We start from the raw sequence: 21942 nt of genomic DNA on the forward strand, positions 1-21942 counted from the left end.
AGGCCACTTTTGAGCCTGTTTCTAACATTACCATCCACTCTGTGAGGATGTGGGACATTTTTTCCACAATTTTCTTTGTGACTTAATTCTAACCCACCAGAATTTGACCTTTACTTTTCTTTCTAGACTTATCTCTAATTACACCCCTCAACAAAAACCATATTACTGTCAACCTGCTTGTCATTCTCTGAAAACATTCTATGACAAGCAGTTGTTCTCTCTTCCTCTGCCATGCCATCTCTTGACACATCTTCCATTCTTCATGTCCCCATGTGAATCTAATCATCTCCAATTTGGAATTACTCTTTCCCTTACTAATGGGAAGGCAGCATCATATAGTAAAAGAGAGTCATTGATTGGGACCCTGTCAATTCCTCTCTACTGTGCTTTATAGTCTCTATTGGATTTTATAGTTCATCTTTCTTCCAGAGAAATATTTTAATTTATTTAAGGTAGAACAGTTCAAAAGCAACATATGCATTCATCCAAATGATATTATTCCCTGCTATTCTAGGGATAACATAAGGAAAGAATTATTGAAACAATAACATTTAACATGTTAAATTTAAATTTTATAACGTGAATAGTAACTCATAGTAAGCACTCATTAAGTAGCTAAGGTTTGTTGAGAAAAGTAGTTGTATTAGTCCATTCTCATGCTGCTATGAAGAAATACCTGAGACTGGGTAATTTATAAAGAAAAAAGATTTAATTGGCTCACAGTTCCGCATGGCTGGGGAGGCCTCAGGAAACTCACAATCATGGCAGAAGGCACCTCTTCAGGGGCGGCAGTAGAAAGAATGCGTGCCAAGTGAAGGGGGAAGCCCCTTATAAAACCATCAGATCTCATGAGAATTCACTCACTCTTGAGAACAGCATGGAGGAAACCACCTCTGTGATTCAATTATCTCCACCTTGTCCCACCCTTGACATGTAAGGATTATTACAATTCAAGGTGAGATTTGGGTGGGGACACAGAGCCAAACCTTATGAGTAGCAAAAAGAGGCGAGGCTTTTAGCTAGAATCATTTTCTGTTGTTTTGCAACCAGACACACTGATGTGAATTTCTGCTTAAGGTTCTGCTTAAAAATTACCCAGCTTTGTATTGCATAGAGAATCAAGTCAACAGTAATCAGTTTGATTTTCAAAACTACCACATATGCCTGAAAAAATATCTAGCCATTTAAGATGGCACCACAGGATCTGACAAGGAAACTAGAAATCCAAAAACTGTTGCCAATAATTAGCATTGTCAATCTTCTCTTGCAGAACTTTTGTTATGATCCTTGAAGTTAATTGACAGCAAGCCTTGATGAACTTACGGGGAGGAGAAGATAAAAAGTAATAATAGAATAAGAAAACAGAAGTGTGATGTAAAGTAGGTATACCAGGCTATTATTTTAAAACCTTTGATATGTCTAAGGTTCTAAAAATGCAATCTCTTGGAAAGTTGATTTTCAGCTATAAAAACTATTTGGTTAAAGAGTAGAGTTTTGGCTTTCTGTTGGGTATAGGCTAATTATGCTAGTTACCAACCCCCACCCCAATGTGGTTACTAAGTTGTACTGTGCTGGAGTGAAGCTGTATTAGGGACTTTCTCTAGAAAACTCATTTTTATATAGGACCTATTAGTATAGAGATCTGCTTCACAAATTAAATAAATAGTTGTAATCTAATAGCCCTGCTTCATCATTCTTCTCCACCCAGCAAATTCACAAAATGTAATTCCAGGAAGAGATGGGTATTGGGCATCTGTAGGGTAAGATAGAGTGATGAGTATGTGACCTAGATTATTAGATTGACTTCTACCGTGTATTTTGGTATTGATTTTGTATTATCCTTATATAGAAATCCTATATTGAAATGTTCTGGTTTTGGGAGGATATGATTATATCCCTCCTGTAAATTGCTAGAAGGTAAATTGCTTTCTACTTAAATATTGAAGATTGAAATATGTCTGTCTGTGTGGTGAACTTAGCTGTAATGCAATGGCCTCTAACAGGTTTTAGCCACAGAACTCTTTATTTACATGGAACTGTATGCTGAAGACTTGCATGTAAAATATATAAAAGTGGAACTCTTTGTGGCAGCGTAGAATATCAGGAACCTCCATTTTGCTCCTTGTCAACCTGATGTTTTTTATACCACAATTGTCACTCCTACACAGTCACTCCCATGAAACTCATAGGTGATCTAAGAACTGAGGGTTCCAGAAGTCTGAGTTTAAGCTAAATGTCTTAGTATTTGAATATATATATGTATTTTTTAATTAATGTATTATTATGTAATGCAAGATGGGCATGTAAGCAGTGCACTATGTATACGTAAAACATTTTAATATAGACTGTTGTCAATGAAAAATCCGTATGTTTTCTACTTTTTTAAAACATATCTTTATCAAATTTGTTTTTTTTGTTTTTGTTGAAACCATCTAGATAGAACTCCTATTCTGATCATAATTCAAAGCCACTAAGAAGTTAGAAAAAGAGAGAGAGAAATCACAGGATACTGCAGTAGGAGTCTCATATCCGGGGCTAACTTACTGGCCATGTAACCTTTGGATGCATCTCCTCCTCTCTGAAGAAATGGAGCTGGGCTCAAAGTTTCCATATTTTCTAAAATTTCCTAAGGATAAGGATCACCTGTGGTACTTGCATTGCTAAAAGTACAAATTCCCACACTTACTCCAAACTCACTAAATCAGAATTTCCAGGAGAAGGCCTGGGAAGCTTGCATTTGACAGGGTCTCCAGATGATCTGCATCATTGAGAGTCTGGGAACCAATGAACTCAACATCTCAAACAACCATTCTGATTTTAAAAGCCTATGATTCTCTGTCTTTGTAATAAATGTTTTCAGTGAGGCCGTGGAGTTTGGAATAGAGATGGTGGCAGAAAGAAAAAAAAACTCATCTTTTAAGACAAAAATGGTGTTGAATTTAGCATTTTCCATAAAAATGTTAAAATAATTTAAAAATATGGAAGAGTTATAAGTTAGTTTTTTGGTTTTTTTTTTTGGTTTTTTTTTTCTAGATGGTGTCTGGCTCTGTCGCCCAGGCTGGAGTGCAGTGGCGTGATCTCGGCTCACCGCAAGCTCCGCCTCCCGGGTTCACGCCATTCTCTTTTTTTTTTTTTTTTTTTTTTTTTTGAGACGGAGTCTCGCTCTGTCGCCCAGGCCGGACTGCGGACTGCAGTGGCGCAATCTCGGCTCACTGCAAGCTCCGCTTCCCGGGTCCACACCATTCTCCTGCCTCAGCCTCCCGAGTAGCTGGGACTACAGGCGCCCGCCACCGCGCCCGGCTAATTTTTTGTATTTTTAGTAGAGACGGGGTTTCACCTTGTTAGCCAGGATGGTCTCGATCTTCTGACCTCATGATCCACCCGCCTCGGCCTCCCAAAGTGCTGGGATTACAGGCGTGAGCCACCACGCCCGGCCCACGCCATTCTCTTGCCTCAGCCTCCCGAGTAGCTGGGACTACAGGCGCCCACCACCACACCCCGCTAATTTTTTGTATTTTTAGTAGAGACGGGGTTTCACCATGTTAGCCAGAATGGTCTTGATCTCCTGACTTCGTGATCCGCCCGCCTCGGCCTTCCAAAGTGCTGGGATTACAGGCGTCAGCCACCGCGCCCGGCCTATAAGTTAGATTTTATTTTCAAGCTTCTTCTTTCAATTGGTGATTCCCTGTATTTTTTCTGGGTCCGTATTCTGTTTGGGGTGTTGTGGGGACTAAAAAATAGATTGCTATCTGGCTTTAAAAAGAATCTGTTCAAATTAGTATCTTCAGAGGCATCCATTGGCTTCTCTGGAACTTAGCTATCGGTCAGATGTTAACAATAAGATGTCATTCGTTCTTGGTACCACGGTTGCCTCAAGGCTGGCTGCTGCTTTTCTTGTTTCTCCTCTGCCACTCCTGAGAGCATACAGATTCTTCTACAGCTCCTGGGGACCAGGAAATCTCTGTGAACTTGTCTAAAGTCCCATGTGACTAGACATAACGTACAGTTATTTTCTTTTTGGAGTCTTGCCCTCTTCTTGTATATCCACCCCACAAGTAATGCACAGATTCCTTTTACTCATGAATCCCACAAAAATTGCCTGGGATTTTTATTAAACAGCTGTGTTAGAATGTTGCTTTGTATTTAATTCAGTTTTAAAAGCAACCTAGCTGAAATATAGACGCAATGTGCTACAGTAACATTTATTTGTAATACGTAATAGACGTAAGCACATACTTTTCTCTAAATCTTAATTGCAGCAAATATTTAAGTATCTCTTTTTAAGAATAATAACTGTTTTTCCCATGTTAACCTGAATTGCTAATTTGTTAAATAGGCTCTCTAAAACTTCATTCCAAATACTTCAAGGATTTCTTCATAGCTTAAATATAACAGACTATTATAATATATGCCGGTGGTGAGTAATCTAAGGCTTAATCAGGTGGTTTATCTCAAAATATTTTTTGAAATGACTTCAGGATAGAGAAATTAATTTCACACATAAATTGAATATACAAGTATCTTTTTCAAAAACCATGTAAATATTGTTATTGTCTCCCTATAAAAATGTCAGTAACATTCTGAAAAATTCAAAAATATTGCATCATTTGTTCCACGGCTTGCTTTTTGAGTTTATGACTTTACTTACGTTATTTGTCTTCTTATTGAAATTTATTTTGTCTCCCATGACATTGGAAGCAATTACTTTAATCTGTTTTATTTCTTAGAGAAATTCCTGATGTTTTTCTTGAAATGTTGACTTTTATTTCATATCTTACAGCTTGTTTGTGATACTAGAGACATCACATTTTTAACTGAACTAAACATAATGAAAGCAACTAAATGCCGTATAGCATAAATCAATAGTTTCCATTTTCTGCTTTTCAGTTTTTCCCACATGGTTAAATAAACGTACTTCAAACAACAGCATGTATTCTATTTTTTAACACTATATTATAATATAAATCCTTTTTTGTATTGCTACTTGGTCTTTACGACCATCTTTTTAATAATTACGTAATATGCTGACAGTTGCTTTGCCCTAATTTAACCAGTTCCCAAATTGCTAGGCATTTAGCAAAATCCATTTTTAAAAATATTATAAAGAACCATATATATAAAACCTTCACATACATACATTTTAGCCGGAACTAAAGAGGATGATACTACTGGGCTAAAGAGTGCTAATGTTTTTTTACAGCTTAAGCCATCTGTAAATGACTTTACAATTAAACCACCAATTTCGAAGTGTAACAATTTTAACGTATACTAACAAGAATACTTCTGATAAATTTCATAGCTATAAAATGATGTTTTGCTCTTTTAATCTTCATTTACTTGATAACTATTCATAGTAAGCAACTAATAGTATCTCCTACTGTGTGAATTAATAGTGGTTTCCTTTTATACTTAGCGTAGATATTGCTATAGAAATTCTGATGTAGAGAGGCAAAATACAGGACAAAATTAAATGCACATTAAAACAACCATGAGGAAGTGAATAAATATTATTATATTATTATATATGAATTTTTCTTTACTTTAAACTCATTCTTATATTTGAAATCTTTCCTATATAATTTTCTAGTCAAAATTTAAAAAATGATTTTTTATATAATTTCCTCTTATTTGAAAATCATCCATGGAATTTTCTATTTATAGTACTCTGTCCTAAGTGTTGAGAAAAGTTAAGGTGATAAAGTTGGTACAATTAGTATAATTATGATGCTATTGAGGATAGATACTATAGTATGGCTGACCATCACCTTAAAAGTCAGCATCTTAGTTTTGCCTTTATGCTTACTTTTAACAAACGCTTTACCTCACAAATTGCCTTTCAATATCAGAGAGTTAAGCTGTCAAATGTCAGAATTAGATTGGCTTGACTGCCTAATTAAATACAGATGCATCTGGAAAAGTGTTCTCCTGCTCTCACATTTCAGTCTAATATCTGCTCAAATTCATGATGACCCCTACATGGCCTCAACTTTAGAGCAAGGACAAACAGACAAAAATACCAACCCTTTCCTGTGTCATTGCTTAGTCAATTCTTTACCAGAAAAAAGCAATGATATATATGTGAAGACAAACGTGAAGGCAGACGGGGCACCCCAAGATGGGAGAGGCCTATACTGACATAACTCAATAATAGGGAGTCAGAATACATGCATGTCTCACTCTCTCAATGATCCCCACTATTTTTCAGAACTGTCACAATGCATTGAGAAGGAGATGAAAGTGGTTGAAAGTGGTGACTGCCAGTTTTTAACATTCTTGCCTAATGACATCATGCAGAAAATGGGAGGCAGCTGGAACTGAGAGGAAAGAATGCTTTAAGTCAGAAAATGTGAGCTCTAGCTCCAACCCTGCTCCTCACTCACTGCATGGTGTCAGAGAAGCCCCTCCACTCTTTAGAATGAAGTTTCTTTCACTGAAAAATGAAGGAGTTGATCTTCATGAGCTACAAGATTACTCATGATTCTAAATTTCTGAGATTCTCTGATCACCAGTAGATGAAAATTTCATTTCTTGAGTGCTTTGGCTAGCTTTATGATATTGTGAAAAATTGCAGCAAGGCTGAGATGCATCTATGAACACAATAAGCTCAGCTGGTTCTCTCTCAAGCAGTGAAAGAGGCAGTGCATTATCAATTGGCCTGAAGAAAAATCTATCATCTACATGATGTATGTAAAGGGTAAAGATTAGGAACAAGCTGGGAGATGAGAAATACTTTTAGGAATGGCAAAAATAAAGTCATCTAATAGATAAGATATTGAGTTGTATGCCACCATTAGTAAAGATTGTTCCTGAGAAGGCCACACTCGGACAATGCAGTGACCACACTCAGACATGGCCAAGGACTATTCTCTTTCTGTTAAACTACAGATGGTAGAGAGGGCACCACACAAAGATGGAACTTCTACTGTGTGTCTTCTTTACTAGGCGCTGGGCTAACCACCTCTCAAAGGTCAAGTCAATTATTATATTTTAAATTTTTCAAAATAAGCAGGTTATTTGCGTGTAGGTAAGAAAACTAGCAAAAACTTAGTGTCTAGCTTGAAACATCTTATTTCAACATTTTATTGAAAAGAACAAAGTAGAAACCACCCAAGCATATATTTTTCTCACTTTTCAGTGAGTCAGAGTTGGAGGGGAAGGAGACAATAATGTGTTTGACTTATAAGTAATGACTAATCAAGAGCTATGCAATTGCTAATTTTGTATCGTTCTTGAGCAAAAGAAGGTATTTTTACATTCATAAATCTATTCAGTTTTCTTTAAATACAATGAGTGAAGGTTAGATATTTTTATATTTTAAAATGAATAAAGAATCAATGTTTATAATACATGAAATTATAAACCACAGGCAGATTAGCAAATGGTAGGCAAATCTTATGCTACATTTACTCTGTCCTTATTTACAATTGACCTCTACTGGGCCTTTTTTTTCTATTAGAGGCTATTCCAGTGAAACATAGACTTTGAAAGAATTTTTTAAAATACATATAGCATAAAATGCAAAGAAAAATATCCACTAAAGGCCTAGGGCCTACTGGGAGCATAATACATAGATTCCACAGCATTAAAAGATTATGTTATAATAATGATAATGGTATGGAGTAATTCAGTAAACAAATGTTCTACATTTCATATGGAACAATTAGTTGGTAACTTTGCTCTATTGAACTGTATACTGGACCCCACTTCTTAGGATCTGTATGAATGCAGATAACTTATTTCTTCTTTCTGTGCCTTAAGTTTTTATTTTTGTAGAACAAATTTCATAGTTAGTTGAAATATATAGGGTTTTTATGAGGATTAGACGAAATCGACACGGAAAGTCTCACAATTGACACATATAAAGAATTTAATTAACAATGCCTTTAAAATAAAATGAAAAAAGCCCACATCAGCTAGAGGTCTTCAAAATCTCAGCTTGGTCTTGTACCAACATTATAACCCAGGAGAAATTACTTTAGCTCTTTGACTTTAGATTTCTTATATGTAGAATGAGTTAAAGATATTTAGCTTGCAGCATTGTTTCAAGCATTAGTGATAGTACATGTGAAGCACTAGCTTGACATTCAATAAATGCACTTTGTAGGTGTCAGCAAAATATTACACATGTATAAATTCATGAAAATGAAAATGTGCAATTATAAAAATTATTAAAAATCTGTTTAGATTTTTACACTCTTGGATTTAAAAACGCTTTAAATATTAGTGCTTCATTTTAATATTTATGGTTATTTCTATTATTTATCTCTATGAATGAGGTAAGATTTTTATAACATCATTAAAATGTAATAATTCAGTATGGAAACAATCTCTGCAGTTGGAAAGGAAATAGATGAGGGTTAGACTTAATGATTTTTCCCCCAAAATTTTCTTATATACTTATTAATGAATCTTTAAAAACAAATAGATGAAAACAAAGTGAAGAAGAGTTTAGTGACTAATATTTATTTGTATTTGCTAAACAATATTAGCATACTGTTTCCATGTGAGAGAAGGTTGGGGCTTTTGGTGTTTGCTGTTGGCTTGGCAAGTGGCTGGGACTCTATCCACGGAGACAATGTTTATCATCTCATATGCTACTCTATACACCTGGCTTGGTGTTTCAGTGTATTATCTTTGAATTGCACTTAATGATATTATAAATTTCCAAGCAAATCCACTGGGTTATGGTGAATCCTGTTATTTTCATCTTAGCGAGAGACTACTCAGATCTGTTATTTTCCTGGAAATAGAAACCAATAAGAAATGTGATGCTCACACACCATTGTAATAAAGAGCAAAACCAATCTAAGTTACAAATTTTATGTTTTACTGATTTGGTCCAACAAATTATATTTATATGTGATTCTAAATTCTTTCCTATAATGATGGTTCTCAAACATTTTCAGACCAGGGACCACTTCAGCAAGAGCAAATGATGTTTTCTGCCTAGCAACAGGGGTATACAGCTCACTTCTCATTTAGAATATGGTAATTATTTCTGATATTTAGCTAGGTGCATTTGATGTCTCATTAATCCCTAACCTCAATTCTAGATTCTTTCTCTGCTAATTGATCAAACCCAGTACACCTAATGATTTGTCCTGATATTCCACTTGGTGGTAATATTGTTTTACATATTCCCATCTCCTGCACATCTATTGTTTTGGTTTACACAATCTCCTCAGCCAGCAATTCTCTTCCTAAATATGTACTTATCAAAATGCCCCATTGCCTTGTTGGCTTCAGCTCCAGTAGGGAGCTTCCTAATTGCCCCAGCTGCAAGTGATTTTTCTGAGTGAGATCCTGGGACACTTTCCTTTGAAAGAGTCTGTATTACACGGGTATTCCATTTATTTGTGTACACATCTTATCTTCCCCATTGTAAGCCATTGGGGAGTTGCAACAATGTCATATATGTTTTTTCCTAGCACAATCCCAGCATATATATGACAATCAATATATAAATGTTAAATTAGTGAATCCCTCAAAATGACATTGTATTAGTCTGTTCTCACATTGCTATAAAGAACTGCCTGAGACTGGGTAATTTATAAAGAACAGAGGTTTAACTGACTCACAGTTCCACAGGCTATACAGGAGGCATGGCTGGAGAAGCTCAGGAAACTTACAATCGTGGCTGAAGGTGAAGGGGAAGCAAGCGCACATTCACATGGCCAGGAGGAGAGAGAGCAAAGGGGGAAGTGCTACACACTTTTAAACAATCAGATCTCATGAGAACTCATTTACTATCACAAGAATAGCAAGGGGAAAATCCACCCCCATGATTCAATCACTTCCCTCCAGGTCCCTCTCCCAACACTGGGGATTACAATTCAGTGATTTGAGTGGGGACACAGAGCCAAACCATTGCAGACATTTTTAAAAGAATCACTTTTCTCTCGATACATTTTGATTCCTCTGAAGGGATTCATTGGAATATCCCCTGGGGAGAGAAACATTTTCAAATATTCCTTACCAATGTCTTAGATCCTAATAAAATCACTTATGTAATATACTGCTTCCCCCATTCTACTGCTATTTTTGAGCTATGTGAAGACAAAAGTAAAATTACTCTTAGACTCTTTATTATAATATTAAATCAAATTAAAATCTAATTAGAAATGTATTTTCTCACACTAGAAGGAAGCATATAAATCATCACTGATCTAGGAAAGTTTCCACCAACAATGGTGTCATTATCTAAAATGGGAAATTTGGGAAGAGTTTTTCTTTTGGAGGAGGAAAGATGATGAATTTTGTAATTAGACAAATTGAGTGTTTTATATTTTAATAAGAAATTCAATTGTTAATTATCTGTAGGTCATGTTTAGAAACTTTGTACAATTTACATATTTGCCATGGCCATAGGAAGAGTTTATTTTACAAACAGTACTATGAAATGATGGGCATTATCACTCTGTATCTCATAGTGACAGAAATGACTATTGATTTTTTTGCTCTATGTTAGCTCTTGTAATGCCTGTGAAACAATGGAATGATTGAAGAGACCATTAGCCTTGTTCTTTTGCTTTTTAATGAGAGCACTTGATAACTTCATTTACTTTCCTATACTCTATTTTAGATCACTGCCTCTTCCTTGTTTTTTCCCTCTTCAGTTCATCATTCTGAGTTACCATTTACTTATTTGGGGCTGAATGCATTTGGCCAGGTTATCTTGCTTGGCTTCACGTGTCATGTTAAGAAAGTCATCTAAGGTCTGTATTATTTAAAGAACAACCCAATTAGACATGAGACAGAGTTGGAAAGGTACTTGGCCCCCGCCCACACTAATGAATTTTTTTCATAACCACTAACTACAAGACCTTGCAGGACCACCCCTGACCTGGTGCCATACCAGCTGATCAGACCTTGCAAACTGTATGAAGAAACTAAGACAAGTAGCATTCCACTATAAATCTTACTCAAGGGAATTAACCCTATTGCCTGCATGCACACAAGGTGTATACCCACGATGCTAGTCTGAAAATGTCATTTGCTCTTGCTGAAGTGGTCCCTGGTCTGAAAATGTTTGAGAACCACCATTATAGAAGATAATTCAGAATAATTTATAAACATAATTTGTTGGATCACATCAGTAAAATATAAGACCAGGAGAATGACTCATCCTGACCCCTTACCTCTTTATAATACTAAAGTCTCCACCCAAGGAGGGGTTTATCTACCATTTTTAATCATGTGACATATAAAGAACATTTCTACACTGACTTGTGCAACAGAAACCCCTCCCTAATCATGCTTAGATACTTTTCCTTTAACATGGGCCCTTTTCCCTCCCCAAATAAAAGATCCTGAGTGACTCCTCTCAGGGAGTCAGATGGGGAACTCTTGCTCCTGTACGGTATCTCTTGTACTTGAGCATAAGTCCTCAATAAAGCCTTGCCTAGGGAATTGCTTAGCCCTGTGTCAATTTCTGTTGCGTGGGAGCCCAAGAACCTTGGTCAGTAACAGCTTTCTTCGTGAATGCAGCAGGACCACAGGATGTGGGTAGCATTTTCTCTCCTGGAGGAGGAGACTTGAGAGCCAGCAGGACTGCTGGCTGCGAACTCTTCATGACAGAGTAGTGACCGTCTGCATTTCTGATTCAGTGTCACTGCAACTGGGGAGTCCCTCTAGCCTGCCCGGGACTCTTCAGGCTCCCTTGCCCACAGTTCTCTTTTCTTTTCTATCTCCATTGTTCTTTCTGGTGCTCTTTTTCCCTTTCTCACTTCCTCTTATTTTAACTGGCTTGGCCTTAGTAGACATCCATGAGGGAGAGATTGAAATTGTCAGCTTGGTTTTTCCTGGTTGGAGCCACTTTAACAGACATCCATGAGGGACAGATTGAAATGGTCAGTTTCCCAAGGCTGATCAACCCAGTATACAGTGGGTTGCAAGTGTGCATTGCACCCTTCCCCTGGCTTCCATGCGGTGGAAAAACTCTTTCAGGCATCCTGGCTCTTGATTCAGCAACTCTGTTTAAAGCCCCTTGCTACTTCACTTCCCTGTGTGGCACTTGGTGAGGAAAGGAGGTATGTGACCTTTTTTGTCCTTTGTTGGAGCATGCAGTTCTGTCATTCTGCATGCAGTCTTTGTGAGAAAAGAAGAGATAGTACTTGGATTCAATTTCTGAGCAATCCCTGTCCTGACCCACTTTCTCTTTTTGTTTGTCTAATGCATCACTTTATTCATTGTCACTTGGTTACTGCAGACTATGGGCTTCAACTCAGTAGGACCTCGACCAGGTATGAAGTTGAGGAGATAGAGAGGACTATCCAAGCCTGTACTCAGTTTTGAGTGGGAATTGACTCACTCTCCTCCCTTGACACTTTGACCTTCTTGCATGACTTATAGCACTGTGCTGTGTGGGACCTGGAGTGATCTCTCTTTGCAATCACTTGGTCTCAGAGCCTGCATCCAAGCCCTGGCCCTTTAATGGAAGGACATAGGAGGTATAGGCTGTCTCTTAAAAGGCTCCACCCTAAAGCCAATAATTCAGTCAAGAAATTTACACCTTTAAGGAAGCCTCCATGTCTCAGAATGTCTGTTTTTCCTGGCAGTTTGACTGAACTTTTACTTACACCGTTTTTCCTTTGTTTAAATAAAATATGAATTCCCTATTTTGTTTCACCTAAGAATTATCTCTTTAAAAATGCAAATTTGGAACAGCTTGGCTGACAATTGTTTAGGGAAGGGAACAGGTAATCAAGATACTGATGGTCTAAAATGAGAAAGAGAAACTTAAAAACTGGTAAATGAAAAATTATATAACAATGAGATCTGTTTCTATCTGTGTATTTATATGTGACATGTGTGTAATGTTTCATTACCAAAATATATGAAAGAGCTCTAATTAATTTGCTTAAAGAAAAGTGCTTAAATAAAATATTTTATAAGAAAAATAAAAACTTTAACTAATATGCCTTTTAGTTCATATTACTTTAATAATCTTTAATAAATAAAGACAGCTTAAAGATTATTAGTAAAATAAGTTAAAAACTTTTTATGTCAAAATTTAGACATTTGGTCTAAATTAGACAGGTCAGATACTGTCTTTATTAGATGCTTTAAGATCATGAACTGCTTTTATGACTTTTTATAAATGTTCAACTTGCCTGCTTTAGAGCTATTAGATTCCACAAGGCCTGGGGACATGTGGAGTTAGCCATGCCCCCTAGCAATGTGGGAAAGCATCAGACATTATCTGTGGTTGTGTCCTGTGTGCTAGACTCTGTACCTGGTATATAATAAAAAATATTTAATTGCTTCCCTTTTAGAGAAATAAAAGTTATATGTTTTTGATTAAAAGGCAAGGGAATGTGGTTTTTTTTAAAAAAAGTAAGTAATTTCATCCAGTTTAGAAGGTTTGAAGATGTTTTAAGTTAAAAAAAGATAAGATAAAGCTGAAGGTTTAAGCAAGTTATAGAAGGCTTGTGAAAGATTAACCTTGTAAAAGAAATTCTGCGTGTGAGCAAGTTGGCTCAAATTAAAAGGGTACTATTTAGTTTTTCCGTAATTAAACATTAACATAAAAACACACTGATGTAGGGCCAGAATATGGGCCCATGTGTCAGAATTACAGTGTTTTCTTGGAGCATATTTTTTCCTCTCTACCTGATTTCTCCAAAATCTGGAAACTATTTGTGAGTATTCTTAACTTATGGCAGTATAGTTATTTGCATAAGTGCAATAAGAATCTCCTTTCTTTTGTAACAGGACACAATTGGAGACACTGATTGTTTCACCAAGGCTTTATCTGAAATGCCATGTTTTCAGACTGTTTTCAAAAATTGGAGTTGACTTATAGAGCCAATAAAAACCCCTTGGAGAAACTGGCCTCATGTCTTATCTATCCAGTCCCTGTACAAGATTCCTGTGGTAAGTAAAGAATGTCACTTTCTTACAGTTCCAAGAGCCCCAAGTTATCTTACGACCTTGAGAGGAGAGGAATCACCCAATTCATCCAGCAAATGCAGGCACAGATAAATCCATGGCTGGGCTCATGGCTTTTAAAAAGTCTAACTGAGGCCAGGCAAGGTGGATCACGCTTGTAATCTCAGCACTTTGGGAGGCTGAGGCAAGTGAATCACTTGAGGTCAGGAGTTCAAGACTAGCCTGGCCAACATGGTGAAACCCTGTCTCTACTAAAAATACAAAAATTAGCTGGGTGTGGTGGTTCACACCTGTAATCCCAGGATGCTGAGGCAGGAGAATCACTTGAACCCAGGAGGCGGAGGTTGCAGTGAGCCAAGATCGCACACTGCACTCTAGCCTGGATAACAAAGCGACACTCTGTCTCAAACAAACAAACAAACAAACAAACAAACAAACTGAGATTCCTTATGGGAAAAAAAAGGTCCAAGATTCCTTATGGAACAAAGTTTCAGCAAAGCCAATTTAAAAAAAAGAGCACTATATACAAATGTGGCACTATATATACAAATTGTGGCACTATAGACAAATAATCAGGCCAAATATAATAAGACTAAAACTAATTTTGCAAATAAATTGGTCCTACCATGATTTGTCTTTGGTAAAAATGAGAGACTGGAGACAGAAAAATTATGTTTCAAGAAAAATTCAAAAAAACTATAGTATACCTATTTTTAGATTCTAGTCTTGTTCACTGTTTTGAGGTTTTTGATTATTATTTTCTACAATTTGTACTGAATCTTGTATTCCTTCTGGGCTGAAAGTCTCCTAACTTATGTTTTATATTTTTCTAGTCTATAACCCCTTGGGGCTCCAGAGCCTCCAATTCCCACACCACCACAACATCTCAGGTTACATATTGGGTCAAATTCGTACATCTTCCAGGACAACTCCAACTCCTACTCTGCTTTTTAAAATGTGAAATACCCACCTAGGATCAACAGTTAAGCCTACCTTTAAATTTATGCAAAGCCTTTGACCCTAGAAAGGAACGGCTGTTACCAATATGTAAGAATGTGTGGGGTTGGAGACATGCAATAGACCCTTATATTAATATTACCCAATCATCCCAAAATGCCACACATAAGATGAGTGCACTCCCATGCTACATTTTTGTGTGTGCATGGGATGGCAAAGAATAGGTGTCCCCATGTCTAAGCAATGAAACTAACAAGGGGTCATATCTTATGGAAACTTCAGTGGTCTGTTTTTGTGTTCACAAAAACACTAAAGTCAATCATTGGACGAGCTCCTTCAAATTATTCACTGAGGTAGCAAGAGATTTACCAGGAGGTATCCCAGATGAAGACAAACTTTTTGGGGCTATTCATTGCTTTCCTGGTGGGGAGTAGCAGCTCATCAATGGGTATTGAGGAATATTTCAAAGACCATATTCATATTAGCTAATGAAACTGCCAATTCTTTAACTGATTTTGAAGAATCACTCAATTCACTAGCCCAGGTAGTTTTAGATAATAGAATAGCTCTACATTACATGTTTGCCGAACAAGGTGGGGGTTGCATGCTAACTAATTCCTCTTGCTGCGCATATATAAATGCATTTTCACAAATTGAAATTAGAATAGAAAAAAATAAGACAGAAAGTTACTTAGTTGCAACATACTCTAGATCAACACACTCTGATATTTCAGATGGCAGGAGACTGGTTTTCTAGCCTATTCACTTGGATTCCAGATGGCATCTGATTTGTTCTTATGGGCATGTTAAACTGGGCTTAAGGATGTTTACTAATTATCACTGATGCTATTTTATTTTTTTAAATAATTATTTATGTTATTCCACAGGGGTGAGGACTATTAAACTTTGTGCCTCTCAGGCTTGAAATCCCCCAGTCAAGCTAATGGTGGAACAACCAATACTATCCCAGGAGGATCTGAGTCCCTGTACATCATTAGACCAGTCAGTGAGAGATTTTTACAGCCTCCAAAGTTAGGCAGGGATGACAACCCCGATGAGCAGGAAATAGCTCCAGAAGATGAGAACTCTAGCCCCTTCTCCTTAAGAAAAAGGAAGATAAAATCTCTCAGGTGATTGGTTGTGGAGGGGCGGGGGTGGGAATGCGACAGAGTAGGGATGAGACTTGGGCCTCAACACCCACTAATGCATTTTTTTTTCATATCTGCTGACTACCAGACTTTGCTGTACCACCTCCATTAGTGCCATACCTGCTCACCAGACCTTGCAAACTATATGAAGAAACTAAGATAGGCAGCCACCATAAATCCACCATAAATCTTATTCAGAGGAGTTAACCCTATTACAGGCAAGACCAGCAGAATGACTGATCCTGACCTTTTGCCTCATTGTAATGTGTCTGGAGTTGGTTCCTTCCAGTGGGTTCTTGGTCTCGCTGATTTCAAGAATGAAGCTGCGGACTTTGAGGTGAGTGTTACAGCTCTTAAAGGTGGCACGGACCCAAAGAGTGAGCAGCAGCAAGATTTACTGTGAAGAGCGAACGAAGAAAGCTTCCACAGCGTGGAAGGGGACCCGAGTGGGTTGCCGCTGCTGGCTGGGGTGGCCAGCTTTTTTTTTTTTATATATACTTTAAGTTCTAGGGTACATGTGCACAATGTGCAGGTTTGTTACATATATTTACATGTGCCATGTTGGTGTGCTGCACCCATTAACTCATCATTTACATTAGGTATTTCTCCTAATGCTATCCCTCCCCCCTCCCCCGACCCCATGACAGGTCCCGGTGTGTGATGTTCCCCACCCTGTGTCCAAGTGTTCTCATTGTTCAATTCCCACCTATGAGTGAGAACACGCAGTGTTTGGTTTTCTGTCCTTGTGGTAGTTTGCTCAGAATGATGGTTTCCATCTTCATTTGGGGTGGCCAGCTTTTATTCCCTTATTTGTTCCCACACACAACCTGCTGATTGGTCCATTTTACAGAGTGCTGATTGGTCCACTTTACAGAGTGCTGATTGATCCATTTTACAGAGCACTTATTGGTCCATTTTACAGTGTGCTGATTGGTCCATTTTACAAACCTCTAGCTAGCCACAGAGAGCTGATTGGTGCGTTTTACAAACCTCTAACTAGACAGAAAAGTTATCCCATTCCCCACTTGACCCAGGAAGTCCAGCTGGCTTCACCTCTCAATAATACTAAAATCCCCACTCAAGGAGGAGCTTTCTGCCACTTTTTAGTCATGTGATGTATGAAAAAGTATGTTTCTACACTACGTTTGCACAGCTGAAACCCCCTCCCTAATCATGCTGACATAGCTTTCCTTTAACATTGACTCCTTTCCCTTGCCAAATAAAGGATCACAAGCTGGTGAACTCTCCCTCCTGTACAGTCTCTCTGGTGCTCAAACATAAGCCCCCAATAAAAGCTTTGTCTGGGAAATTTGCTTGGCCTTGTGTCAGTTTCTACTGCGTAGGAGCCTAAGAACTTGTGGCTGGTAACAGATTCAATGAGTATTTTTGTAATTGGAGGATAGGTTTTCAATAAGTAAGCATCATAGGAAAATTCTTATATCTAAAAAAATTTTCTTATGTGGGTAAAGTTTAACATTAAGGACTCAGACCCTCGAATTGGCATAAAGAGAATTTTAAACTAAAGACATCTGAGATTCAACAGATGCAGACGGAAGTCTTTTCAAGCTTCCCTTATCTTACTAAAAGCAGAAACTTCTGGGAATGACGCTAAAGGGAGTTTTATAGCCATGAAGATAAAAATGGAAAAGACCACTCACACATGCATAAACAAGCATCTCAAAGTTTATTTTCTCCTGTTTGTTCACTTAGGAATCTTTTGTTCTTTCCATAGAAGCCTTTTCTCTTGACCCCTCACCCCTATTAAGTTAGGTATATAAACCTCTAACTCTAGCCATTTAGTCAGCTGCTGCTTTTGTGCATTAGCATATGCATATAAATAAATTTTAGGGTTTTTTTTTCTGTTAATGTGTCTATTGTCAGTTAAATTCACAGGTCACCATTTACAGAATTTAAAAGGATAGAGGAAAAGTTTTCCTTCCTGATAACATTCTATCCATAATGAGTTTAAATATAATGGCTATTTCTGGGAGAAATGATAGTAAGAAAAGTGTTTATATGATGTATCACTAGAGATACACATGATCAATATTAAGGCTGATATTTTGAAAATATTATCTCCTACATTTTAAAAGTTTATGGTCACTGGCCAGGTGCAGTGGCTCATGCCTGTAATCCTAGCACTTTGGGAGGCCGAGGTAGGTGGATCACTTGACTTCAGGAGCTCAAGGCCAGCCCGGGCTACATGGTAAAACTATTTCTCTACAAAAAATATTAGAATTAGCCAGGCTTGGTGGCTTGTGCCTATAGTTCCAGCTCCCTGGGGGGCTGAAGCGGGAGGATTGCTTAAACCCAGGAGGTGGAAGTTGCAGTGAGCCGAGATTGTACCACTGCACTCCAGCCTGGGCAACAGAGCGAGACTCTGTAAATTAAAAAAAAAAAAAAAGAAAGAAAAAAAAAGTTTATGGGTTTATAGTTCCTTAAAGCTTGGTGGATTTCTTTGTTAAATATTTTGGTTAACAAACTAGAGAGGAATTAAAAGGGGTAAGTATCAAATTTTAAAAGTGTGAAAAATATATGAAATTAAAAGTTTTTAAAACATCAAAATACCAAGCTAAAAACAACTATACTAACTATGAGCTACTCAATATGCTGTAGGTACAAGTTTACATGGATTAAAGCAGAAGAGTAGCATTGTGAAATGGAAAGATCATGAGTTTAGAATTCAAAAAAACCTGTATTAAATTTTGGCTTTGCCTCTTCTATATGGCACCAATGGTGATATTAAGTAATTATTAAAAATTTCACCAACTGAATAGATATGATAACCTGAATTTGCTCTCCTCATTTGTGTGATGGGGGGATAACAATAATTTCCTTTAAGAGTTATTCTCCTGCTAGCAATAAGAGATCATGCATACATTGGAAAGATATAGCAGAGTACTTGATGTTAAATTAATAGTTGCTCTTATATTGCATCATTATTATCAAGAATCAATGACAAGACATATATTTGAAAATACATTTCCTTGTTAACTTCTTCAATGTTTCTTCTACTATGCACATGTTTGATGATGGAGATCACCTATCACATGATAAATGTGGATTCCTTCCAAAATTATGTTAATTAAAAAGTCAGTACAGTAATTTTGATAGTAAAAAGAATATTTAATGCTTAATCTTTAATATAATCAAATGATTAGGATAGTATCAATGACTTTTAAGGTATTTAAATATTGGTTAATATGATCATGTAAATTAGGAAATTAGAAGAAATGCCATTGTCTTTTTCTTATGATATAGTTTTGGGCAACTTGCTTTTCCAGCACACACAGAGTTAGATAGCATTTTTGCTTCGGAGAATTTATATTTCTACTTTCATTCCTTGTTTTATTCTTCAATGGATCACTTTTGAGCCATTGACCTTTTGTGGTAAACAAGATATATGTCATGAAATATGATGAAATGCCACAGTAACAGTAAAATGCACATCTAACATACATTAAAAATATAAAATATTTTAAAAACATTAAACAATAGTTCCTAGAGACATGAAAATATTTTAGCTAGTGAAACTCCCTTGCTCCTCCCCACTTTAACCAAGCACTAGAAGAGTAGAATGAACCAATGCTATCCATGTAATGTTACAATGACTTTAAACCTGGCCCACAAATGTGTGATCTTTGACTTGATACTACTGGGCCACATGTGTTTTAAATGTGGATTATTTGCCAACATACGTATTGAAAGAGGTTGCCTAGAAATCCAGATTTATGGCTACTCTTTGAAAACAAATACACACACACACGCCTGCACATGCATGTATATTATACATATAATAAATTAAGGTCAAATATGTAATACATATATACATAAAATATTACATGTATATATGTTATATAATATGTAGATATATTATAAATATATATTTTCTATATTAAATATATGATATGATATAATATATCTTGAATTCCTACATGGCAACAATTAGCTGGATTCCTTAACATCTTCCCTCTTTACAGAAAATGTACTCCCTAGGTCTTCATAGTTCCCTCCCTCCCTGTTTCTCTCTGATACTGAAAAACAAATTATAGACAACCTGCTTATTCATACACATGACCTGCCTCGTCCTTGAAGGAATTTTAATTTTAATTCTCTGTAACATATGCATACTTTTAAAGAATGAAATAGTTATAACAATAGTAGCTTATGAAAATAATTTCACATTCCAAATTTCTGAAATGCATATAAATTAAATTGCTTATTACTTCACTTTCTAAAACAATCCAAGTATCTCTAGACCACCTGGTCACTTGATGGGGATCACTACTGGTCTATGAACCCACTTTGAGAAACACTGGTTTATAGGATAAAGTACTAACTCCTTAGCATTGCATTAAAAAACAAATATCATCTGATCCTTCCCTTTCTTTACAACCTTGACTCATAAAACCTAACTCTCACCAAAATATTTTTCTCGACCATAAGATAAGATTCATAACTGTTAGAATTTGTATGCTCAATAATAAATCCTTTTGCTTAGGCTTTCCTTTGTTCAGCATATTTGCTCACATCTTTGTCTATCTGGCAAGATAATTTTGGCTTATATGTCAGCCTTCCTACCTTATCTGTCAACTTAACAGGAACATTCTTGTTTGTCTTTTTATGTCCACCATTTTTATAGTTCCTGGAACAAATTCAATAGGTAGTTTACAATATGTTTACGGAATGAATGCAAGAATGAATTATGTTGCTTTGAAACATTTGAATCAAAACCCAAACCAACAATTGAAATCAAAACCTAATCAACAGCTGTGGTGATTTGTAGAAAAGACAATTCATATTCTGAGTGTTTATTCTAAGATGGTAACCCAAGAAAGAACATGGTGTTTAAGGGCATGTATGAGTTGGGGACCGTTTATTTCAAGATAACTCTCATACTGAAGGATTTTCTTTTCTTGTCTCATCATTGAGGGTGGGAGCTCCATTGCCAAATTAATGAAAGACATTCTGCTCAGGTTGGTCTCATACTCCTGACCCCAAGTGATCCTCCTGTCTCAGCCTCCCAAAGTGCTAAGATTACATGTGTGAGCTACCATGCCCAGCCTAATTTTGCTTTTTAAAGCAATGGATTTGAATGGAAAGCAAATGAAAAAAACCTAGTTTCTTTATTGCTTATCTATTAAGCTCTCTATTTCTCATCTTTTTTCCCCAACAGAGTGGGAGCTATCCATAAAATGGGCAACAATCAACAATAACAACAGAAGTATGTCTTCCATGTGTTTAATACTTTCTGGGAACATGAAGCAGTTGAACTGTGAAGAGTCCTAAGTCTTTCTGTTGCATCCCTCCTTTTACTCTTCCCTGGCTTCTTGCCAGCACTGGAGTCATGTGGAATCTCCATGGCTCCTGAAGTTTCTCATTTTCAACACCAGGTGGTAAATCCTGGGCATCCTTCTTTGAAGGCATTTATAAACCAAGAGGAAGTGAGAGGAGGATCCTGTTGAAGGCTGGAATGAAAGTCTTTAGGTTCCAGAGCAGCTTTTAGTTTGAAGGAAATTTAGTCACCCCTTCAAATGTCATCAGGAGTAGATTCCATGTGATGGCAACTCACTGTAAGTAGTTGTACTCTGCTTTCAGTAACTCTAACAACATTCATCTGGGAGATAGTTAATTCAAGCTTTGGTTACGCTGACAGCAAAATTAATCTTCCAAGGAGATGTACTATATAGACATTGAAGATGAGATATCAGATTCAGTGTAAACATCTCTGTCAGTGAAAAGAGCTGGAGTTATAGCCAGGCAAATGCGTTAGAAATTACTTCATTAGGACATATCATAGAAGTAGATGAATTGAGAAAAAAAGTGTCTACTTCAAGCAAATTATGCAATTTTTAAATGAAGGCTAGAAAAAATAAGCATACTTTAATTTATCACAATTATGGACAATAGTGAAGAATCCATATACTTGCTCCAATCAGTAAATGGC

General features: G+C 36.7%; 1 long non-coding RNA gene across 1 annotated transcript; it reads left to right on the plus strand.

Annotated features, from left to right (window-relative positions):
* Positions 1 to 1293: 1293 nt before the first annotated feature.
* Positions 1294 to 13829, plus strand: LOC124909449 (uncharacterized). The gene is made up of 2 exons (XR_007096134.1): positions 1294 to 1379; positions 13714 to 13829. It is a non-coding gene; the product is annotated as an uncharacterized LOC124909449 (long non-coding RNA).
* Positions 13830 to 21942: the final 8113 nt, after the last annotated feature.

Source organism: Homo sapiens, chromosome 3 (genome assembly GCF_000001405.40).
Source record: "Homo sapiens chromosome 3, GRCh38.p14 Primary Assembly".
NCBI lineage: Eukaryota > Metazoa > Chordata > Mammalia > Primates > Hominidae > Homo > Homo sapiens.